The sequence below is a fragment of the Homo sapiens genome, chromosome 13 (assembly GCF_000001405.40).
Source record: "Homo sapiens chromosome 13, GRCh38.p14 Primary Assembly".
Taxonomy (NCBI): domain Eukaryota; kingdom Metazoa; phylum Chordata; class Mammalia; order Primates; family Hominidae; genus Homo; species Homo sapiens.
Window position 1 is genome coordinate 24381866 of NC_000013.11, and position 21464 is coordinate 24403329.

Consider the following 21464-nt stretch of genomic DNA (forward strand, 5'->3'; position numbering starts at 1 on the left):
CTTCCGTGTAGTCTGTACAAATGCTTGGCTGTAGTTTAGAGAGGACTCCTCAGTCGCAGAGTGACCCACCACTCAAGCCGGCCATCACCTGAGCTTTCTGTTTCAGTCGACCTTTGGAGTAGGGGCCCAGGGACCTGACACCACACTGCTCGTGGCTTTGCTGTCTGTGTGAGTCATAAACTGTCTTGATTCCTCTTGGGCGCACTGTCTTCTTGGCAGCCAGGTCTATGGGAATGAGGCCTGCTGACCTCACAGCCGCAGCCATGCTCCCTTTCGGGATGACTTGGCCGCCTGACACAGATGATATCCAAATCATGAAACACCAAACTAATACAATTAAAACCAGAACTTAGCCAGGAAGGCCCACTATTCTTGTTTGATATTGCACTGAGGGTTCAAGCAGATGCAAATGGCCAAGAAAATAAAACATATAATTTAAGCATTGGAAAAGATACAGCTACTAGTTATTACAACCCAGATATTGTATTAAAAATAAGAATTAAAAATAAAATGTGATAGGATGAGACGATGTCATAGAGTTATGCAGAAACCAATGCATTATCTCTTTTCAAGTGATAGGCAACTAGAAACGGAAAGGGGAAGAATCAGTCTGTTCGCAACAGTGACAAAACCGTGAGCTACTTAGGGATCAGAGGAACAGGACCCAGGAACTGTGTGCCTGGCATCTGCTCACAGCCACTCAGAGCCATTTTCTGTCCCGCCCTGCTCCATACTCTAGTCTCCCTTCCCCTCTGTCTTCCAGTAGATTTGGTCAATGGATGGTGCTGACCCAAGATTGAAGGGTGGGATGAAAGGACACACGAAGCCCTCCTCTCCCTCTCTCTGTTCCAGTGGGACCTCCAGCTGCAGCTGGGTCTCCTCGGTGGTTGTGGGCTCCCACCTGAAAGCCCCTTTCTCCATGGTCCCAGATGGGGCTGAAGTCTTAATATGATTAGAGCATGCTCCACACTGACCCTCCAGGCCCAGCCCTGGGGTAGAAGTATCCTCACCACCATACAGATTAACCCCTACAATCAGTTCCTTGCATTAAATTCCCTCTGCTTGAAAGATCTAGAGAGATTTCCAGTTTCCAGGTCAGAGCCTGACTAATACAATCCCTATGGAAAAAAATGATAAAATCTTATTTAAAGACACAAAACAGACACATTTTTCTGGATAAGAACTTTCAATTTAAAAATGTTAATTTTCCTGAAATTTATCTTTAAGTCGAATGCCATTTCATTAGATTCCCAATAAAGTTTTGGGGGTTTTGGTGTGGTCTTGGTGGGTAGAATTAATGTTGACATTTTTAAGGGAGGATAAATACTCATGCAAGATGAGACAACCCTGCCACTGTTCACACATTGACAACACCCCATGGGTTGGGACAGAAAACCACAAAATGGCCTCAGGATAAGCAAGAAGGTACGACCAAGCTTCATTTGTTTCAGGGTAAAAGGAAGCACCATTTAATTAATGGGACTAGCACACCCAGCGGCAAGCTAGAAGAAAATAAAAGTGGATCCACTCCTTCATCTTAATCAGAAATAAATTCTAAGTGGATTAAAGACTTTAATGTAAAAGAAGTAAGATAAAATAAAAATACTGCAAGAAAATCTGGAAGACCATGCCATCTAGGGTAAGGATTCCTCATTAAGCAAGACTGAAAACTCAGAAGTTCTTAGAAGATAGTATAAACACGCTGAACTATAAAACAATTTAAAGCTCATCTATGAATAGATACCTAAAACCAAGTCAACAGCCAAAGTATAAGTTTAGAAAAACAAAAAGTGGGCCAGATGTGGTGGCTCACGCCTGTAATCCCAGCACTTTGGAAGGCCAAGGCGGGAGGATCACCTGAGATCAGGAGTTTGAAACCAGCCTGGCCAGCATGGTGAAACCCAGTCTCTACTAAAAATACAAAATTAGCTGAGCGTGGTAGTGCATGCCTGTAATTCCAGCTACTTGGGAGGCTGAGGTAGGAGCATTGCTTGAACCCGGGAGGTGGAGGTTGCGGTGAGCCAAGATTGCGCCATTGCACTCCAGCCTGGGCAACAGAACAAAACAAACAAACAAACAACAACAACAACAAAAAAAACACAAGAAATGATTTATGATTAAAACAACATTCAAAAAGCTATTATCTGTAAGATATGAAAAGTGCTTATGAATTGATAGGAGAAAAAAATCCAATCGAGAAAGTGTCAAAAAAATACACATTCACAAGAGTAAATCCAAACGGTTAACATCATATAAGAAATGTTCAAAATTACCAATAATTGGTGAAATACAAGTTAAAGTCACAAGCGGCTGTCACTTAAAACCCACCTGACTCGCAAATTAAAAGAAAAGGGCAGCGCGACGGATTTGGGGAGAGAATTTGAAGAAGAGAGAGCGTGCATCGCTGCTGCTGGGAAGCGGAATTCGGCAGCATTTTTGGAAGGTTATCTAAGAATGTCAGTTCAAAGAAACACCGTCTATGCTTCTTAACCTCCAAATCCCATTTTGTAGTATCTGCTTGGGCAGCCACAGCACAGCAGCGCAGATGGCGCCTTACACGGCAGGAAGAGATTCTCTCACGCTCCTGGCAGCTGAAGGTCTGAGGTCAAGGCGTCCGCAGGGCTGCTTTCTCCTGAGGCCTCCCTCCTGGGCATGTGACGTGGTCTTTTCCCTGGGTCCTCACATGGTTGTTCATCTGTGTGTGTGTGTGTGCGCGCGCGTGTGTGCACACACTTGTGTGCTAATCACCTGTTCTTTTAGGGACACTAGTCATCAGGGCCCACCCTAATGAGCTCATTTTAATTTATTACCTCTTTAGAGACCCCATCTCCAAACTCAAGCACACTCTGCATACCAGGGTGGGGGCTTTACTGTAGGAAACTGGAGGGGACCCAGCTCGGCCCCTTGCAGAGTCCTTGTGCTTGTTTCTGTAGAAATGAAAGCACTGGTCTGCTAAGATGTAAGAACAAGGATGTTTCTACCCACAGCGTTGTTTGTAGAATCAGGAAGAATAACCCTAAAACTGAAAACAAGGGGATCCCCAGAGATGCAGTTCCTCCATGAATCAGGAGGGCCAGCTCAGCCATGGAATATGAGACCATGGTGCTAAGGTGGCTGGCGGGGTTTCCCAAAAGGTGAGGCCATTGAACAGAGAGGGGAAGACCACGGCGTCTGGTCCCCGCAGGCCCCACGAGGCCCAGTGATGGTGATGAAGGCAGGAACATGAGCAGTCGCCTGGCAGGGAGACCACGTGCCGGCAGACAGTGGCTGTGGCCTCGGTGGGGACGCCAGTCAAGGGGACCATGCGGGAGGGGAAGGGCAGAGGGAGGAAAGCCACTGATGGAAGGAAGAGGAAGACCACAGTGGGAGTGACCTGCCCGGAGATGGCCCCCTCATGAGTGTCCGGGCCCTCGGGCTGAGGCAGCAGGCACCCTCTGACCCAGGCCTGGCGGGGAAGGACAGCCTGGGCCTGGACCTGTGAAGGAGACCGCTGGAGGGCCCCAGCGAAGGGGACCCTTCGGGGACCTGACTTTGCAGGCAGGGAAGGGCTGGGCACCCAGGAGAGAGGCCTCTGCTCCCTGCTCCTGTCCCTCCATCTATGGCCATGTTGTAAACAAGCAGAGAGGCACGGTTTGGCTCTCTGGGGACAGCAGAGGCCTTCTTAACACCGGCTCAGCACACAGCTCCTCCTGAGTGTCCCCTATGCTGGCAGCTCTGCAAGGCTTAGCCATCAGGGTGGTCTCCTCCTCCAGGGCTAGCAGGGTCCCTGCTGGAAGCGCTCTGCCCACTCAAGGAGGCCCACCCAGAATAATCTCCCTTCGGAGTAACTCGAAGTCAACTGCTCCGTACCCTGTCCCCTCCAGTGGAGAGGGCTGCACAGGGCATGCCAGAGGGGGCCTCAGGGGTCCCCTTAGAATCCTGGGAGGAGGAGAGGTGAGGGTGAAGGGAAGAGGAAAAGGGACAAGGACGGCCCCAAGGAAGGAAAGGGCATTTAGGCACCGCTCACCCAACCCTCCCCTCAATCCTGCAAATGGGTGTCCCAGCTGAGGGGACAGGTGGGTTGCTGGAAGGACACCCCCAACATTCAATGCTGCTCTCGGGATGCCCTCCAGACCCCTGCCCCTCCCAGGCAGGCCCTGTAGCCCACCTCCCCTCCAAGCCCCTCTCCCAGCAGTGGGGAGCCCGGGCTTTGTCCGCAGATGGGCCGAGAGCCTCTACCCAGCACGTGACGCCGGAGCCCCAGGTGAGATCCTGCCATGGGCAGGGTCTCTGACCAGCACCTTGTTCACTGCTCTTGTGGTGCCCTGCAGGCTTGGCACCCCCTGCCCCCACCCGGCCCCTTTTCACAGCTCTATTATCCCGGGAATGTCCACTGTCCATGGAAGTCCTTGCAGCTAGAGGTCATCCAGGCTGTTTGTCCTCGTCTGTCACATTTGAGTGGCCGGCTCCAATAGCATCTCAATCTGCCCACCACAGCACACATGACATCCTACACCAAAGGTGACATCCTAGGCCTGGGGGTCCCCGGGCAGTGAGAACTGGATCCGAGCCCGAATCAGCCTCCTCCTGCATGAAAGGAGTGAGGTGAGGGGCGTGTGAAGGAATCCGAAACAGGACAGCTTCATCTCGCGGCTCCGTGGCAGAGGGAAGTGTGGGCGCTCGGAGACGGGCCTCTCGCTTTGTCTGGGTGAGGGGAGGAGGCCTCCTTGTGGTTCTTGGTCTCCCTTCCTCCCACTGGCAAAGGCTTCCTCCCTGGGTTGGAGGTCAGTGTTCGGGCTGGGCACAGGGTTCATTATAAACCAAATATTTGAGTCCCCCAGAATTCCTGTGTTGAAATCTTCACCCCCACGGTAATGGTCTTAGGAGGTGGGGGCTTTGGGAGGTGATGAGGTAATGAGGGGGAAGCTGCAGGAACAAGACTCGTGCCCTTGTGAAGGGGCCTAGTGAGACACTTGCTGCTCCCCACGTGAGGACACAGTGAGGAGACGCCATGGAGAAGCCAGGAGGCGACTCTCCCAGACACCAGATGCGCCATGCCACTATCTTGGGCTTGCAGCCTCCAGGTCTGTGAGGAATAAATGTCTGTCGCTCACAACCCCCGAGTGTGTGACACGCAGTTACAGTGAGGAATAAATATCTGTCACTCACAACCCCTGAGTGTGTAACACGCAGTTACAGTGAGGAATAAATGTCTGTCGCTCACAACCCCCGAGTGTGTGACACACAGTCACAGCAGCCTGGAGGGGCTAAAAGAGGGCTCATAGCAAGGGCTCGAGCTCTCGGCCCTGGAGGCACATGCTGTGTGACCTTGGGCAGGTACGTGACCTCTCTGTTCCCTGGTTTTCTCAGGTGTAAAGTGGTGGTGGGAATCACTACCTAATAGGGTTGTTGTGAAGACGGGTGTGGGAGGCCTGTGGCGCCTGCGCAGGGGAAAGGCTGTGGGTGTCCGTCCAAGCAACAGTCAGGGCTGTGTGGTCATCCCTGGCTGTGGGATCCACAGGGCTGGAAGTCTGCCTCTGGTGACTATGTGACCCTGGGCAGGTCTTCCTGGCCCTGGCTGCAAGAGGGCCCCAGAGTAGCCCTCCACGGTTTCCTGGTAAGGGCACAGAAAGGGGCTTCCCAGCCGTGGATGACGTCAGAAGAGGCTGTGGGAGCAGCAGGGGCAGAGAGGATGCCAAGAGCATTCCCCACCCTCCATGGGGCCTTCCCCAGGCCTCCCCCACCTGGGGATCGGGGATACGCCCTCTCCACCCAGCTATCTCCCACCCACCTCTCCTGGGATCTGGGAATAGGAAAGCTGTTTGCTCAAACACGCCTGGGCCCCCAGGCACAGAACACAGTCAGTGTTCCTGGGGGCAGCGCCAAGGGTGGCTGGGGGCGAGCTGAGGCCCAGCGTTCCTCCCTGATGTCAGGCGTGTCTGGAAGCCATTCAGCATTCATCAGCCCTTTGACTTCTCCCTCAGTGGCTCTGCAGGTAACTATCTCTATGTTGATTTGTGTTCTCTGCCCCTTCAGGGAGCCTGGGGTCTGAAGCAACTCTCAGACTGTCAGGCAAATGACGCTGTCAGAGATGTCAACCCCTCTCCCAGTGATAAGAGTCGCACACCTGGTCAGTGGCCACCCTGGAGTTGGGTCCAACCCTGCCTTTTCTGCAAAGTGTGGACAAACCTCAGAAAGCCTGGAGAGAGAGGGAGCTAGGGACAGAGGAGGGGAGGAGAGAGGAACTGGGGTTGGGGGATCCGAAGGAGAACAGGGCTCCTGGCTCCGTGGCTTCCCGCTAGCTCAAGATGGTCCCCTTGGTCCCACATCAAGTCTCACAAAACTCCTAGGAGCATCAGCATCAAAAAGACAAACAACCCAACCAGGAACTGGGCACAGGAGTTTAAAAGACATTTCTCCAAAGAAGACCTGCAAATGGCCAGCAAGCACATGAAAAGACTCAACGCCATTAGTCATTAGAGAATCCACCAAAACCACAGCGAGATGCCACTTCTCACTCCTCAGGATGGTGAGGAGGAGTAGAAGGGGAAGGAGGGGAAGGAGGGAATGAAGGAGAGAGGGAGGGAGAGAAGAAAGGAAAGAAAGAGGGAAGGAAGAAGGGAAGGAAGGAGGGAGGGAGGTTAGGAAGGAAAGAAGGAGGGAAGGAAGGAGGGTGGGAAGGGAAGGAGAGCAGGACAGAGAAGGAAGAAGGGAGAGAGGAAGGGAGGGAGGGTGGGAAGGAAGGAGGGAGGAAGGAAGAGAAGGAAGGTAGGAGGGAAGGAAGGAGGGTTAAAAGGAGGGAGGGAGGAAAGGAAGGGTCACAGGAGGGACTCCAAGGCCCTGGGCTCCCATTAGGGGCTGCTGGGCAGGCAGGTTGTGCTGGAAATGCAGGTGGAAACAGGCATGGGGACCCTGGAGGCAGGAGATGGTCACAGCCCCAGCTGCTCTCTGTAGAAAATAGCGAGTGTTGGTGAGGACATGGAGGAATTGGAGCCTTGCCTGCCGCTGGTGGGAATATAGAACAATGCAGCCACTGGGTGGAACCCAGCAGGAACCTGGGAGGCCTTCGATGTGATTTGGCAACCAGCGGAGTGAGGCACCAACCACATGCTAACAGGGGCTGAGCACACCATGCTGGGCGAGGCAGCCAGTCACAAAGGCCACACAGCAAATGGCCCCTTCTATACGAAGTGCTTAGAACAGGCAAAGCTGTTAAAGACAGAAAGTAGCTTTGTGGTTGCCAGGGGCTGGGGTTGGGGCAGATGGGAAGTGGCCACGATGGATATGGAGGTTTCTTTTGGGGGTGGTGGAAAGGTTCTAACATCAGATGATGGTAATGGTTTGATTGTGCAGCTTTGTAGATATACTAAAAACCATTGAATTCTGCACGGGCAAAAAGTCTGGGAGGTATGAGGCAGAATCAACATCTTACAGAAGAGGAAACTGAGGCTCGGGCATTTTAAATAAAAGTTGTCTTACTGCTGTGCCCGATGCCTTGAAAAGCCGGCTAAGACTTCTCATGGGAACTGTCTCCTCAATAGGCCCCGGCTGGCCCCTCTCCAGCCCTTCCCCAGGGAACCTTCCCTGCCAGAGCCTGCCCTGACCCCCTGTTCACACGCAGCACCTCACCAGGAGCAGGTCTGGGGACAGTAGTGGGTGGCTGCATATCCAGCTGCCATGGCTCCTTCAGCTTTCTCCTGAGAAGGGAAGGGAGGTGGTGCTGCAGGGGAGAGGAGGGTGCAGAGGAGATGCCACTGGCAGCAGGAGGTAGACGCAGCCCAGCTGCTCTCTCAGGAGTGCAGAGGGGCTGAGTCCCCACACCAACGGCCCTGCATGCCTGGCCCAGAAGCACGGGGTCTCACTAGCATAGCACTGGTGTCACACGGGAGAGACTCCGAGGCCCTGGGCTCCCGTCAGGGGCTCCTGGGCAGGCAGGTTGTGCTGGAAGATGCAGGTAAGGACAGACATGGGGACCCTGGAACAAGGCAGGTCCTGCCTGTCTGCATGAACCCCAGGACAGCCATGGCCCCTGCCTATGAACCTCTTGGTTAAAAAGCCCCATGTCATGGAGGCAGCATTGGGCCCCTCCAGATAGAAAGAAACCCCTATGGCATGGAGCCAGAATCACCCCAGACATCCTCTTTCAGATTTTTCAATTTTATGTTCACTTACTTTTAGGCAAATGGGAAAAGGTTGGAGGTACCCAGCCTGCCCAGCCTGCGTGGTTTTGTGGTGGTCCCACACTGAATCATCTGTCAGAGGGCTGTCTGTGGTCCCTCGGGGCTGGGGTCTACACCCCCTTGTCAGGACTGCAGGCCTGGCACTGCTGCGTGGCTCAGGGCTGCCACCTTCCCGCACTGATGAAGGGCTGACCGCGCCTGACGCCATTAATTGAGCTTCCTCCGAGTGGGACAAGCGAGCGTTCTCGTTTCTAGGATGATCAAGTTTTGCCAGAGCTTGAGCAAAGCTACTCAGTCATGAGATTGGAAGGTGGGAGCCCCACGTGGCTGGAACTTCATTCCTGCAGAGAAGATCCCTCCAGAGAGGCCCCAGGCCCAGCTACGGAAATAAATGCAGCCACACCCCATTCCCCTTCAGATGACACGGACTCCCCAGATTCCCCACTGTCAGCCCAGCGTTCAGCTTCACGGTTGTCTCTACCCCGGCTCACCCGGTGAGCCTCTGCCCTGGAGCTGACAGGGCCACAGCCAAGGCCCCATCCCTTCATCTTGGCTGGGGCGGAACCTCTCTGCCGCCATGGGCAGCACTTCTCAGAGGGCCAGGGGCTGCTGTGTGGACTACCGTCCTCGCACAAGGCAGCAAGTGCTCCATGTCCGTGGCGCTGGGGGAGGGAGGGGGTCGCCAAGGACCTGCCTGCCTGCCTGCCTTGGGATGCTCTGGGTTCTCAACTAGATGCTGCCTGGACCTGTGGAGTGGCCCCAGGACCCCATCCACGCTGCCTGGGCCCTGCCAGCTGGGGCCTCCAGTCTGCCGGTGCGACCTCACTGGCCCCTGGGTCTGGGGTCCCCTGGGTCTGCTATGGGAGGCAAGGGGGCACTGTGAGATGCCACTTCTCACTTCTCAGGATGGCAGAAACTCAGCCCTGAGAGAGACTATGTCCAGACACCACATTTAGGGCTCTGGCGTGTGACAGGTGTGGCAGTGGGTGGGGTGCGCTCAGTGACCTGGACCGAGAGCAGGCCCGAGGCCCAGCAGGGACTCAGAGAAACATGGAGTGCCAGGCAGGAGGCCCAGGGGCCAGGAGGGGCCACGGTGCTCCCAGGCCTCGCATCTACCCATTTCAGCCTTCTAAGATCTGCAGCCAGAGGTCCAAGAACAGGCAGAGGAGGCCCGTATGGGGGTGCTGCAGCAGAGGGAGTGGGGTTACCAGCCAGCGGCCAAGGCTCACAGGAGCAGGACCTCCCAGGCCACGCAAGGGAGAGGACATTTCCAGTAACGGCGTTTCAGAATTCCTCCTCCCTAGGGGTCCAGGGCCTTCCTCTGCTCCGAGGAATTCTCAGGCCAGTCCCTGAGACAAGACAGGCTGGAGGGAGGCATGCTGAGCAGGCAGGGCCCGGTGTGGGACCCTCCGCGGGAATCGTCCGAGCAGCATCTGGAGAAGGCGGAGGGTGGGAAGCTCGGTGGAGTGTACCCTCTAGTCCGCCTCTCTTGCTCCCCTCCTGCCTCCCGAGGCTCCCTGCAGGACTCCCCGACCTGCCTGCCTCTCACCCATAAGGTAGGTCTACAGCAGGTCAGTCTGCTGGGGGCCCAGGTGTGGGACTTGAGTTCTCCTGGGGCCACAAATGGCTTGAAGGGTGGCCTCAGGCAGGGCAGGTGACCCCTCCCTAGTCTGAGGTTTTTGCTTCTAGGAGACTAGAAGTCCCTGGAGTCCCCCAGGTGTTAAAGTCTGGGAGGAGAGACTCTGCCTAGCGCCTCGTGTGGGATGTCCTGAAGTCCAGGCCAGCCCAGGAGCCTTCCTGGGGGTTTGGAATCACTGCTGTAGGGTACTCACCCCTGCAGGGAGCTGTCCAATGGAGCTGGGGCCTCTCTGAGGCAGTGGCCTGACAGGCTGGGCCACCCAGAGCCGCCACCCGGGAGCCCCAGGACCTTAGGCATGTCCAGCTCACCTTGCGGAAACATCTCTTGACTGCCGCGGTGGGTCTGGCTGCAGAATTCCCATCCGTCTCCACGCTCCTTTGAGAGCGCACAGCAGAACTGCTGCCCGCGCAGCCTCGTGGGTCCCTCCTGACCCTAGATGAGGCGGGCTCCTCCTCCCTGGGCACCAGGTGCTCCTGGGAACCAGGTTTAGCACGCTTCTGCATGAGACGGGTTTCACGATCACTCCGTGCCGTAATTAGATATTAAAAATCTCTGTGTCTTCATAAAATTACATGGAATGAATAATAGAGTATCACAGTTAGAAAGTCATCAAAATGTAATAAAATGGTGTTATTACGAAGGCTTAAATTTTAATGATGTTTTTTAGTATGTCACTTATTGTGTAATTACAAAATAAGATAGAGTAATTAAACGGAGACTTGGGGCTTTGCAGGGGGCTGGGGCTGGGAGGCTCCTGATTCTATCCAGAGTGGGCACTGGAGAGGGAGCAGCCAGCCTCCTGGCGGCAGGGCCTGGGTTGGGGGTGTGGCCCGGCATGGGCTGACCTTCTGCCGTCCTGGAGGTGAGGGGCTCGGGAGGACAAGGCCTTGGGACTTGTAGAGCCCCCCCTGTATCTCAGCACACAGGGCCGACCTCAGGCTGCCAACGCCCACAGCTCTTTGCCAAATGCCCTGGGACCTCCTGCTGTCTCTGTCACAGGGCAGAAGTGCCATGAAGTTAGCCTCCTCGGGAGCTGGCCTGGAACAGAGAGCCTGGGATGCGTGGCTGGATGTCCCGGCTCATGGGCTCTCGGGCGGATCATGCTGCTGCTCCCCCTCCTGCAGGGAGCCCTTCGTGGATGCCCTTCCTCCTTGTCTCCTCTGGTTGCCATAAAACTCTTTTGCACAGGAGGCTTATGCCTACTCCTGTGTCACCTTTGGGATCAGCCTCCAGGCCTGCCCAGTGCTGTAACTCTGCTCAGGACAGCAAGATGATTTCAGAAGAAGAGATCGGGCACTCTCAGCCTCCCTGAGGCTAGTCAGAGCAGCCCTGGCTCATGCAGCTGCTGCCATGGACTGGGATCCCAGGCTGCTCTCCACCTTTTTCCTTCCTGGGAAGCACTGCCAGTCCTTATTCCTCCAAATGACCAGGACAGGAGCTCAGAGGGGAGGTTATCCCCACAGATGGGCTCCTAGGACAGCACCTGCAAAGGTGCCCTCTGTGGTCCCGAGAGCCAGTGCCTGGCATGGCCGCCCGCTTTAAGCTGTGGCTGTGGGCAAGTGTGTGCTCTCCAGGAAGAAGGGGCCTGTTGCCTCACTGTAGATCATCCTTAAAAAAGAAACTAGAGACACCCCGAGTGCCTCTCTGCAGCCCCACAAATCTGGAGAGGAGGGAGCTGAACAGAGAGAGCTTAGGCTTTTAAATTTTAAATGGCCAATTTGGTCAATGAATCAGTTTCACTGGGCTGAGGCTGCATGGAGACGAAAGTGGTTTTAAGACCTATTGAAGGCAGTGAGAGCCTCTTTGTCCACACTTTTCTCAGACTGCCACCCTCTAATATTTCATCTATGTTCGTATTTATGGCTTTCTAAATTATAGATATCAGCTAAAAAACTGAAAAACAGAGAGGGTGAGGAGGGGAGGGGGAAATTCACTACTGTTGAAAAGAAAGGTAAAGTTATGCCTCCGAAAGCCAGTGTGCTGGATCATGACCTGGAACTCACAGCCGGTCCTTCCATATCTGGGCTTATTCCTCATCTGGTCCATGACCCAAGCTGGGCCTTTGCTGCCCATGGGACAAAGAGTGAGGCAGACAGATGTTCCTCTAGTGAGGAGCTCATGTTCTAGTGGGAGAAGGAGAGAGACCTCCTAAAAGTGAGCAAGACAAAGACCCTGGTACTTGGGACAACACAGAGTGGGTGAGGCAGGGCCGTGGAGGAAGGAGATGAGAGCAGGGTAGGAGTGACCTGCCCTTGTGCAAGCATTTTCTTTCCAACTTCCACCATGCTCAGACTGTAACTTGAAGTTATGATGCCCATTCCTGGGAATTCATGTTCTACAGATTTGGAATAATTCTGATCTAATTGGCTAAAAATTAATGTGTACTTTATCTTTGATAAAGGGCTTGTTCTACAATTTGTAGTATAAAGGAATCATAACATAAACACTTTAAACCAGGGGTCAGCAAACTGTTTCTGCAATAGGCCAGCTAGTAAATAGTTTAGCCTTGGTGCATCAGGCAATCTGTTGCAACTACTAAACTCTGATTTTGTTGCATGAAAGCAGTCATAGACAGTGATATGGTTTGACTGTGTCCCCACCCAAATCTCAAATTATAGCTCCCATAATTCCCACATGTTGTGGGAGGGAACTGGTGGGAGGTCATTGAATCATGAGGGCAGGTCTATCCCGTGCCGGTCTCATGATAGTGAATAAGTCTCACAAGATCTGATGGTTTTACAAAGGGGAGTTCCCCTGCACATGCTCTCTCTCTCTTGTCTGCTGCCATGCTGGGGAGCTGGCCACACCGAGAGCTGCCTTCTACTACTATTTCTGGGCCACGTCCTCCACCCTCAAAACAGCAAACCCATCTCCAATGCCAGACTTGGGGCTGCACATGGCCAGGGCAGAAGTAACTGTGAACTCACAGAGGACAAAAAGAAGAAAGAGAAAGGGAACCCCTTCAGTGCTGTGGCTGAACTATGTTTGCTGTAATTTCTCAATTTCTTTGTGAAAATGTAATCGTGGTCCCAGAGCATGTGGGGCCCTCTGCACACTGACAGCAGGAAGGAGACTCACTGCAGGGACCACAGAGAGCCACCACCTGGGCCCTTGCCCTCATGGGCTGGGAGGCTGGGGGGCTGGGGAGGGTCTGTGGGTGTGGATAGCAGAGAGTCTCTGGGGCTGGGGCCCCTCCTCCTCCCTGTCTCTCAGACAAGGCATCAGGGCCCCACCTGGGACCACACTGGCCTATCACAGGCAAGGTGACCTTGGCCAGCTGGCTCCTGAGTGAGGCTGGGGAAGGAGACAGGAGGCAATGGGCCTGGATTTGGGATGGCTGCCCCGCTGGGAGCTCCTAGGAAAAGGTGTCACCCTAAGAGGCCAAGAGGGAGGTGAGCCTCAGGGCTGATGTCCACCCTGCAGCCTTCGCCTGACCTTCAGTTCTGGGGGGCAGCTTGGGGACCCCCACCTGCCACCGTCAGCCTTTCCACCTGCAGGATCAGGATCCTCCTCACAGGCAACTTAAAACCTGAGGACATCACAAAGCAGGAAATTAGTTCCTAAGCAGAAACCCCCCTCCCACCCCCGCTCCAACCCCTCTCCTCCTCTCCAGCCTCCCTGACCCTCCTAGCATGCTGGCTCCCCCAGCAACACTGCCCTCCTCTCAGACACACGCTCCCTACCTGCCTGCACCCTTACCCCACCCAGCCTCCTCTGGCCATCCTGGTCCCTAGGTTCAGCCTCCTCATTCCCTGTCCCTGCTCTGTCCCACCCAAGAAGCAGTGCACAGCCCCTCCCCTTCTGCGCACCTCCCTGGAGACCTCGCCCAGCATCTTGGCGCTAGGCACCTCGGACAGTCTCCCCACTTGTCTGCCATTAAGGTGACCACTTATGCTAGAAGCTTCCAGCAGGGCAACCACCCCATTGCAGACCCCCTTCCTCCTGCCCCCTGCCCCAGGCCCAGGCTCAGGCTGGGAGCAACTGCCCAACACAGGGCAGCCACCATGGGGGGTCAGCTGGCCGGGGACACCTTCTCAGTGTTTGGCCATTTCCTCACTGGCACCCTACTCAATGAACACTGTAAGAGATAGTTATTAGAAAAAGTATTTCTCTATGAAATCTCCCTAACATTGGAAGAAGCGACTGTTACCCCATATATGCAAAAATCAATTTAGGACCACAAGAAAAAAGGAAATATTACACCTCCAAAGAAACACAATAATTCCCCATTAACAGACTCTAAATTGTAAGAGTATATCAAATGGCTAAGAAGAAATTCAAAATAATGATCTTAAGGAAACTCTATGAGATACGAGAGAATACAGATAGACAAATCAATGAAATTAGAAAAACAATTTATGATCTTATGGGAAATTCAACAGGATATATATGTCATTAAAAACCAGACAGACATCTTGGAGCTGAAGAATTTAAGGAATAAAATAAAAAACACAATGAAGAGTCCAGGTGCAGTGGCTCATACCTGTTATCCCAGCACTTTGGGAGGCCAAGGCAGTGGATCACTTGAGGCCAGGAGTTCAAGAAAAGCCTGATGAAAATGGCAAAGTCCTGTCTCTAAAAAATACAAAAATTAGTTGGGTTTGGTGGCGCATGCCTGTAATCCAAGCTACTTGGGAGTCTGAGACACAAGAATTGCTTGAACCCAGGTGGTGGAGGTTGCAGTGAGCCAAGACTGTGCCACTGCACTCCAGCTTGGGTGGCAGAGTGAGACCCTGTCTCAAAAAAAAAAAAAAAAAAAAAGAAAAATACAATCAAGAGATTTAAAAACAGACTTGGGAGATATGACCAAAATCTAGGAAGCTCAAAGGTTCTCAAATAGATTCAACCCAAAAAGGTCTTCTCTGAGGTGCATGATAGTCAAACTGTCAAAAGTCAAAAAGAGGGAATATTCGTCAGGTGAGGTGGCTCACATCTGTAATCCCAGCACTTCAGGAGGCTGAGGCGGGTGGATCACTTGAGGCCAGGAGTTCAAGATGAGCATGGCCAACATGAAGAAACCACATTTCTACTAACAATACAAAAAAATTAGTTGGGTGTGGTGGCATGCACCTGTAGTTCCAGCTACTTGGGAGGCTGAATCACGAGAATTGCTTAAACCCAGGAGGTGGAGGTTGCAGTGAGCCAAGATCACACCACTGCACTACAGCCTGGTGACAGATTGAGACTGTATCCAAAAAAAAAAAAAAAGGAAATATTAAAAACAGCAAGAAAAAAGCATCAAGTCACATATAAGGGAAACTCCATTTGATTAACGGTGGATTTCCCAGTGGAAACTTTACAGGTCAGTAGACAATGAGATGGGATGATATATTCAAAGTACTGAAAGGAAAAAAAAAAAAACTGTCAACCAAGAATACTATACCCAGCAGAGCTATCCCTAGAAATGAGGGAGAAATAACGTATTTCCCAGACAAGCAAAAACTGAAGGAATTCATTACCACTAGACTGGCCTTACAAGGACTGCTTAAGGTGGTTCTACTTCTGGAAGCAAGAGGATGATTACTATTGTGAAAACATACAAAAGTATAAAACTCACTGCTAGCGCAGATATACACATGAGAAAGAGAAAGGAATCAAACTTTATCACTACAGAAAATGACCAAACCACAAAGATTAAAAAAAAATAGAAGAAGAAAAGAACAAAGGATATATAAAACAACCAGAAAAAAAATGAACAAAATGACAGGATAAAGCCTCATCTATTAATAGTAACCTTGAATATAATGTAAACAGATCAAATTCCCAATTAAAAGATATAGAGTTGGCTGCCAAGATTAAAAAAAAAAAAAAGTCCCACTGTATACTGCCTACAAGAAACTCACTTCAACTGTAAAGGTTCATACAGACTGAAAGTGAAGGGATAGAAGAAAATATTCCTGGCAAACAGAAATCAAAAGAGAACAGAGGTAGCCATACTTACATCAGATAAAACAGACTTTAAGTCAAACTGTATGAAGAGACAAAGAAGGTCATTTTGTAATGATAGAGGGATCAACTTAGCAATAAGATATAATAATTGTAAATATATATGTACCTAACACTAGAGCACTCAGATAAACAAAGCAAATATTATTAGGTCTAAAGGGAAAGATAGACTCCAATGCAGCAACAGTTGGGGCCTTTAACACCCCACTCTTACCACTGGACAGATCATCTAGACAGAAAATCAACAAAGAAATAACAGAGTTAAGCTTACTGATAGGAATAAGTTCTGGTGTTCTATAGTGCTGTAGGGTGACTACAGTTAACAATAATTTATTGTATATTTTTACATAGAGAGGATGTTGAGTGTTCCCAACACAAAGAATGATAAATATTTGAGGTGACAGATATGCTGACTATCCTGATTTGATCATTACACATTGTATGCAAGTATTGAGATATCCCTGTGTACCTCATAAATATGAACAAGTATTATGTGTCAGTTAAAAATATTTTTAAAGAATGAAGGAAACCGATTTTTTAAATGAAAGGAAAGAAAATTACCTGACTTGGCTGAATGGCCCCATGTGGTCTCTCATTCTCCAGTAGGCTACTTCAGGCCTGTTCACGTGACGGCAGAGGCAAGAGTCCCAGGAGCGGCAACAAAACAATGCAAATCCTCTTCCGGCCCAGGCTCAAAATTATATATTACTTCTACCCCATTTTATTGGACAATGCAAATTACACTACCAGTCTGGATTCAAGGAGTAGAAAATAAACTCCAACTCTTGATGGAAGGAACTATAAAGAATTGTGGCGGTTTTTGATAGTCTACCATAGGGAGGAAAGATGGGGATGCTATAACCCAAAATGTGTATTCTTAGGTTGAGATCCTAAATTATAGTCAGGGCATATGGCTTTAGGCTCTGTGGATGACTAAATTAATTTCAAACATATAATGCTGTTTACTGTGAAGTGCCAGCTGAAAGGATCATTGTTTAATTTTATGTAATTTACAATACTTATTATACCTCAATAAAAATGTAATTATTGAGGGCTGGCATCAGTTGCCGAGAGGTGGAAGGAGTACCTCTCTGCAGTGTGTTAACTCAGTTCCGGACAGGACAGGGCTGCAAGTTCAGCTACTTCCCAGATAATGTCCTGGATCCCCTGCCTGAGTCATCATCCCATGACTGGAGAACGTGGACAGATTATTTTATCAAGAAACTGGTGATAAACGAGGGACTATAGGAATTAAGAACTAAGGCTAGAAAAGAAATGTTTAGAGTGATGCAAGATGGCCAATTAGAAGCAGCTGCAGTCTGCCGCGCTCACAAAGAGGAATGAAAAGGGGCGAGGGAATTCAGCACCTTCAACTGAGACAACCAGGTTCTCACATTAGGACTGACTAGATGAACAGGTCGACCAATGGAGAATGAAGACAAGCAGGCAGAGGGTGCGATGGCCCAGCCAGGGGTGGCGTGGAGCCAAAGGAACCCCCACTCCCAGCCAAGGGAAGCAGTGAGTGAGTGTGCAGTCCTGCCCGGGAAACCGTGCTTCTCCCATGGATCTTTGCAAGCCATGGATCAGGAGATTCCTTGTGAGCCCATGCCACCAGGGCCGTGGGTCTGATACACAGACCTGTATGGAGTCTGGGCACATCAGCTCAGGCACACACAGAAACCCAGGAGTTTTACACACTCTAGCCTCCGGGATCTTCAGCACAGTAGGAAATCTGTCCGTACGCATCTCTGGGAAGGGGGCCGAATCCAGGAAGCCAGGCAGCGTCATTCTGCAGGCCCCATTTCCATAGCACCTCACAAGTTAAGACCCACTGACTTGGAATCCTAGCCTGCCAACAGCAGCGGGTTGGAATCCACCTCAGATGGGTCTGAGTTCCCGGGGAGGTGGGGAGAGGCAGCCGGCACCACTGTGGTTCATAGACTCAGCCACTCCAGCCTGCCAGCTATGGAGAATACAGACAGTCTGGACAAGGAAGAGTTCCCCACAACACAGCACAGCTGGCTTGCCAGATCATGACCAGACTGCTTCTTTAAGCAGGACCCCCATCCATTCCTCCTCACTGGGCAGGAATCCCTGTGGGGGCTTTAACCACTCCAGCAACGGTTCTATGGACAGAGCTTTGATCTCTCCCTGAAATGGAGCTCCTGGCGGGAGGGGCAGCTGCCATCTCTGCAGTTTGGTCAACTCAGCCACTCCAACCTGCTGGCTTTGGAGAATACAGGTGGTCCGGAGGAGGAAGGATCCCCCACAATGCAGCACACCTGCTCTACCCCAAAGCAGCCAGACTGCTTCTTTGGATGGGTCCCTGATCCCATGCCTCCTGACAGGGTGAGAATGCCCAACAGGGGTCTCCAGCCACCTCCTGCAGGTATGTGTGGGCTGGCTACAGGTCAGTATCCCCCTGGGATGGAGCTTCCAAAGGAAGGAGCTGGCTGCCATCTTTGCTGTTTTTCAGCCTTCACTGGTAATACCTCATTCAGAGTCTATGAGGAACTTAAATTTACAAGAAAAAAACAACCCCATTAAAAAGTGGGCAAAGGATCTGAACAACACTTCCCAAAAGAGACATGCATGCAGTCAACAAAAATATGAAAAAAAAGCTCAACATCACTGATCATTAAAGAAATGCAAACAAAATCACAATGAGATACCATCTCATGCCAGTCAGAATGACTATTATTAAAAAGCCAAAAAACAACAGATGCTGGGAACATTGTGGAGAAAAAGGAATGCTTTTACACTGTTGGTGGGTGTGTAAATTAGTTCAACCCATGTGGAAGACAGTGTGGCAATTCCTCAAAGACTTAGAGGCAGAAATACCATCAGACCCAGCAATCCCATTATGGGGTATATACCCAAAGGAATATAAATCATTGTCTTATAAAAATACATGCATGCACACGTATGTTCATTGCAACAGTATTCACAATAGCAAAGACATGGAATCAACCTAAATGCCAGTCAATGATAGATTGGATAAAGAAAATGTGGAACATAGAGCAGGACGTGTGGCTTCTGAGCGAGAACATTTGTAGTGCCAGTGACGAAAGAGAGAATTTGAGAGATATTGAGATGTTGAGAAAGAGAGATGTTGAGAAAGGCAAGAAGATTTTTGTTCAGAAGTGTGCCCAGTGCCACACCATGGAAAATGGAGGCAAGCACAAGACTGGGCCTAATCTCCATGGTCTCTTCAGGTGGAAGATAGGTCAGGCCATTGGATTATCTTACATAGACACCGATAAGAACAAAGGCATCACCTGGGGAGAGGATACACTGATGAAGTATTTTGAGAATCCCAGGAAGTACATTCCTGGAACAAAAATGATCTTTTCCAGCATTAAGAAGAAGGCAGAAAGGGCAGACTTGATAACTTATCTCAAAAAAGCTGCTAGGGAGTAATAATTGGCCACTGCCTTATATTGCAAAACAGAAATGTCTCATGACTTTTTTATGTGTACCATAATTTAATAGATCTCATACACCAGAGTTCAGATTATGAATGACTGTCAGAATATTTTGTTGGGCAGTCCTGATTTAAAACTAAGACTGGCTTGTGGTTAAATGAATAAGTTTGGTTTTTGAATATTAATAGTAATTCCAATTCAGTGAATGCTATCACTGTTTACCCCTTCTAAAGATATGATTAGACTTTGTTAATAATGTTTAAGATGGTGAGTACCATCTTAAAACTTATTGGAGATTGGTTTTATATTTATATTTATATTGGTTTATATTTAGATTTATATGACTGGTTATGTGAATATATTTAAATACTGGGGAAATTCCTTCACTGTCTCAGAACCAAGCAAGATGCACCTGTGTTTTGTGTTTATTTGCCTCTTAAAGGCAAGGGTTGAAGATAAGGTAGCAATGTCTTCTTTGTATTGTTGGCCTTAACTATGCCAGTGTCATTAGAATTCCCTGTGTTTAAGATGGTTCCTTTTACTTATTCAAAGGCATTTTAGTGTGGTTTATGTGTAATATCAAATAAAGATTATTTAACACTTAAAAAAACAACAACAAAAAAGAAAATGTGGTACACAAACACCATGAGAAACTGTGCAGCCATAAAAAGGAATGAGATTACATCCTTTGCAGAGACATGGATGGAGCTGGAAGCTGATATCCTCAGCAAACTAACACAGGGACAGAAAACCAAACATCGCATGTTCTCACTTACATGCGGGAGCTGACAATGAGAACACATGAGCACACAATGGGGAACAACACACACTGGGGCCTGTGGGGAGGGAGGGGATGGGGGAAGGAGAGCATCAGGAAGAATAGCTAATGGATGCTGGGCTTAATACCTAGGGATGGGATGATCTGCAGCCAACCACCATGGCACACGTTTACCTGTGTAGCACACCTGCACATCCTCCACATGTACCCCTGAACCTAAAAGTTGAAGTAAAAAAGATATATAAAATTATCTGTATATACATATGCCCTGATATAAGTATACATTATATATGCATGCATCTATAACCACATTTTTATTGAGGTATAACATATATGGTAGGTTGCACTAATCAAGTATATATCTTGATGATATTATACCTAAGTATATATATGCATGTAACCAACACCTCTATCAATATATTGGTCTATGACTGACCTCCAATTAATTGTAAAGATATAGAGTGTTAAGGTTCATGTTTTTCACATAGCTCTCAATTCCTCCTGTACCATTTATTGTAAAGAGCATAATTTCCACCAATGAATCGCAGAGGTGCATTTATTGCAAATAAAGTGAATATATATGTGTAGGTCTGTTTCTGGGCTTTTTCTTTCATTACGACTGTCTATACTTAAGTCCAGACCACAGTTTTAATTATTCTGGCTTTATAGTGACTCTTGAGAACTTGTGTATAAGTCTTCCAACTTTGTACTTCTTTGTTTAAAAACTATCTTGGCTCTCCTAGATTTTTTGAATTTCCATATAAATTTTAGAATCATCTTGGCAATTTACATACACACACACCCCCCAAACCCACACACACATACAATATCTAAAATTGTTGAGATTTCCAACTCATGAACATAATATATCTCTCTACTGAGGTCTTCTTTGATTTCTTTTAGCAATGTTTGTAGTGTACAGGTTTTACACATCTTTGTTAGTTTTATTTCTACGCAGTTGATATATTTTTATGCCATTTTAAATGACATTTGAAGATCTTCATTTTCTAAATATTTGCAGTTGGTATATAGGAACATAACTAATTTTTGTATATTGACTTTTGTTCATTTGTTTGTCTTAAGACAGGGCCTTGCTCTGTCACCACAGGCTGGAGTGCAGTGGCACCTGGGATCAAGCATTTCTCCCACCTCAGTCTCCCACATAGCTGGGACTACAAGCAGGCATCACCACACTTGGCTAATTTTTAAAATTAATTTTTGTAGAGAAGGAGTCTCTCTGGTCTCACTGACCCAGGCTGGTCTTGAACTCCTGGATTCAAGCAATCCTCCCACCTCAGCCTCCCAAAGTGCTGGGATTACAGGTGTGAGCCACCACACCTGGCCTTGTATGTTGACTTTACATCTAGCATCCTTCATAAATTCACACATTCATTTTAATAATGAATTTGTAGATTCCCTTGGATTTTTTAAATATATGCAATCACATAAAGTTACTACTTTCTTTCCACTTTTTATACTTTTTTTCTTTATTGAATTATCTAGGACTTTCACTGTAA

General features: G+C 49.5%; 1 pseudogene, besides 1 other annotated feature; it reads left to right on the top strand.

Annotated features, from left to right (window-relative positions):
• Positions 9833 to 10555: an enhancer, noted in NCBI's record as "H3K4me1 hESC enhancer chr13:24965836-24966558 (GRCh37/hg19 assembly coordinates)". NCBI's record gives its function as "activates a minimal SCP1, AML or CMV promoter by ChIP-STARR-seq in naive and primed H9 embryonic stem cells {active_cell/tissue: H9 hESC(naive and primed)}" and the evidence as "EXISTENCE:reporter gene assay evidence [ECO:0000049][PMID:30033119]".
• Positions 18768 to 19364, top strand: CYCSP33 (CYCS pseudogene 33; annotated as a pseudogene).
• The last annotated feature ends 2100 nt before the right edge of the window (positions 19365 to 21464 follow it).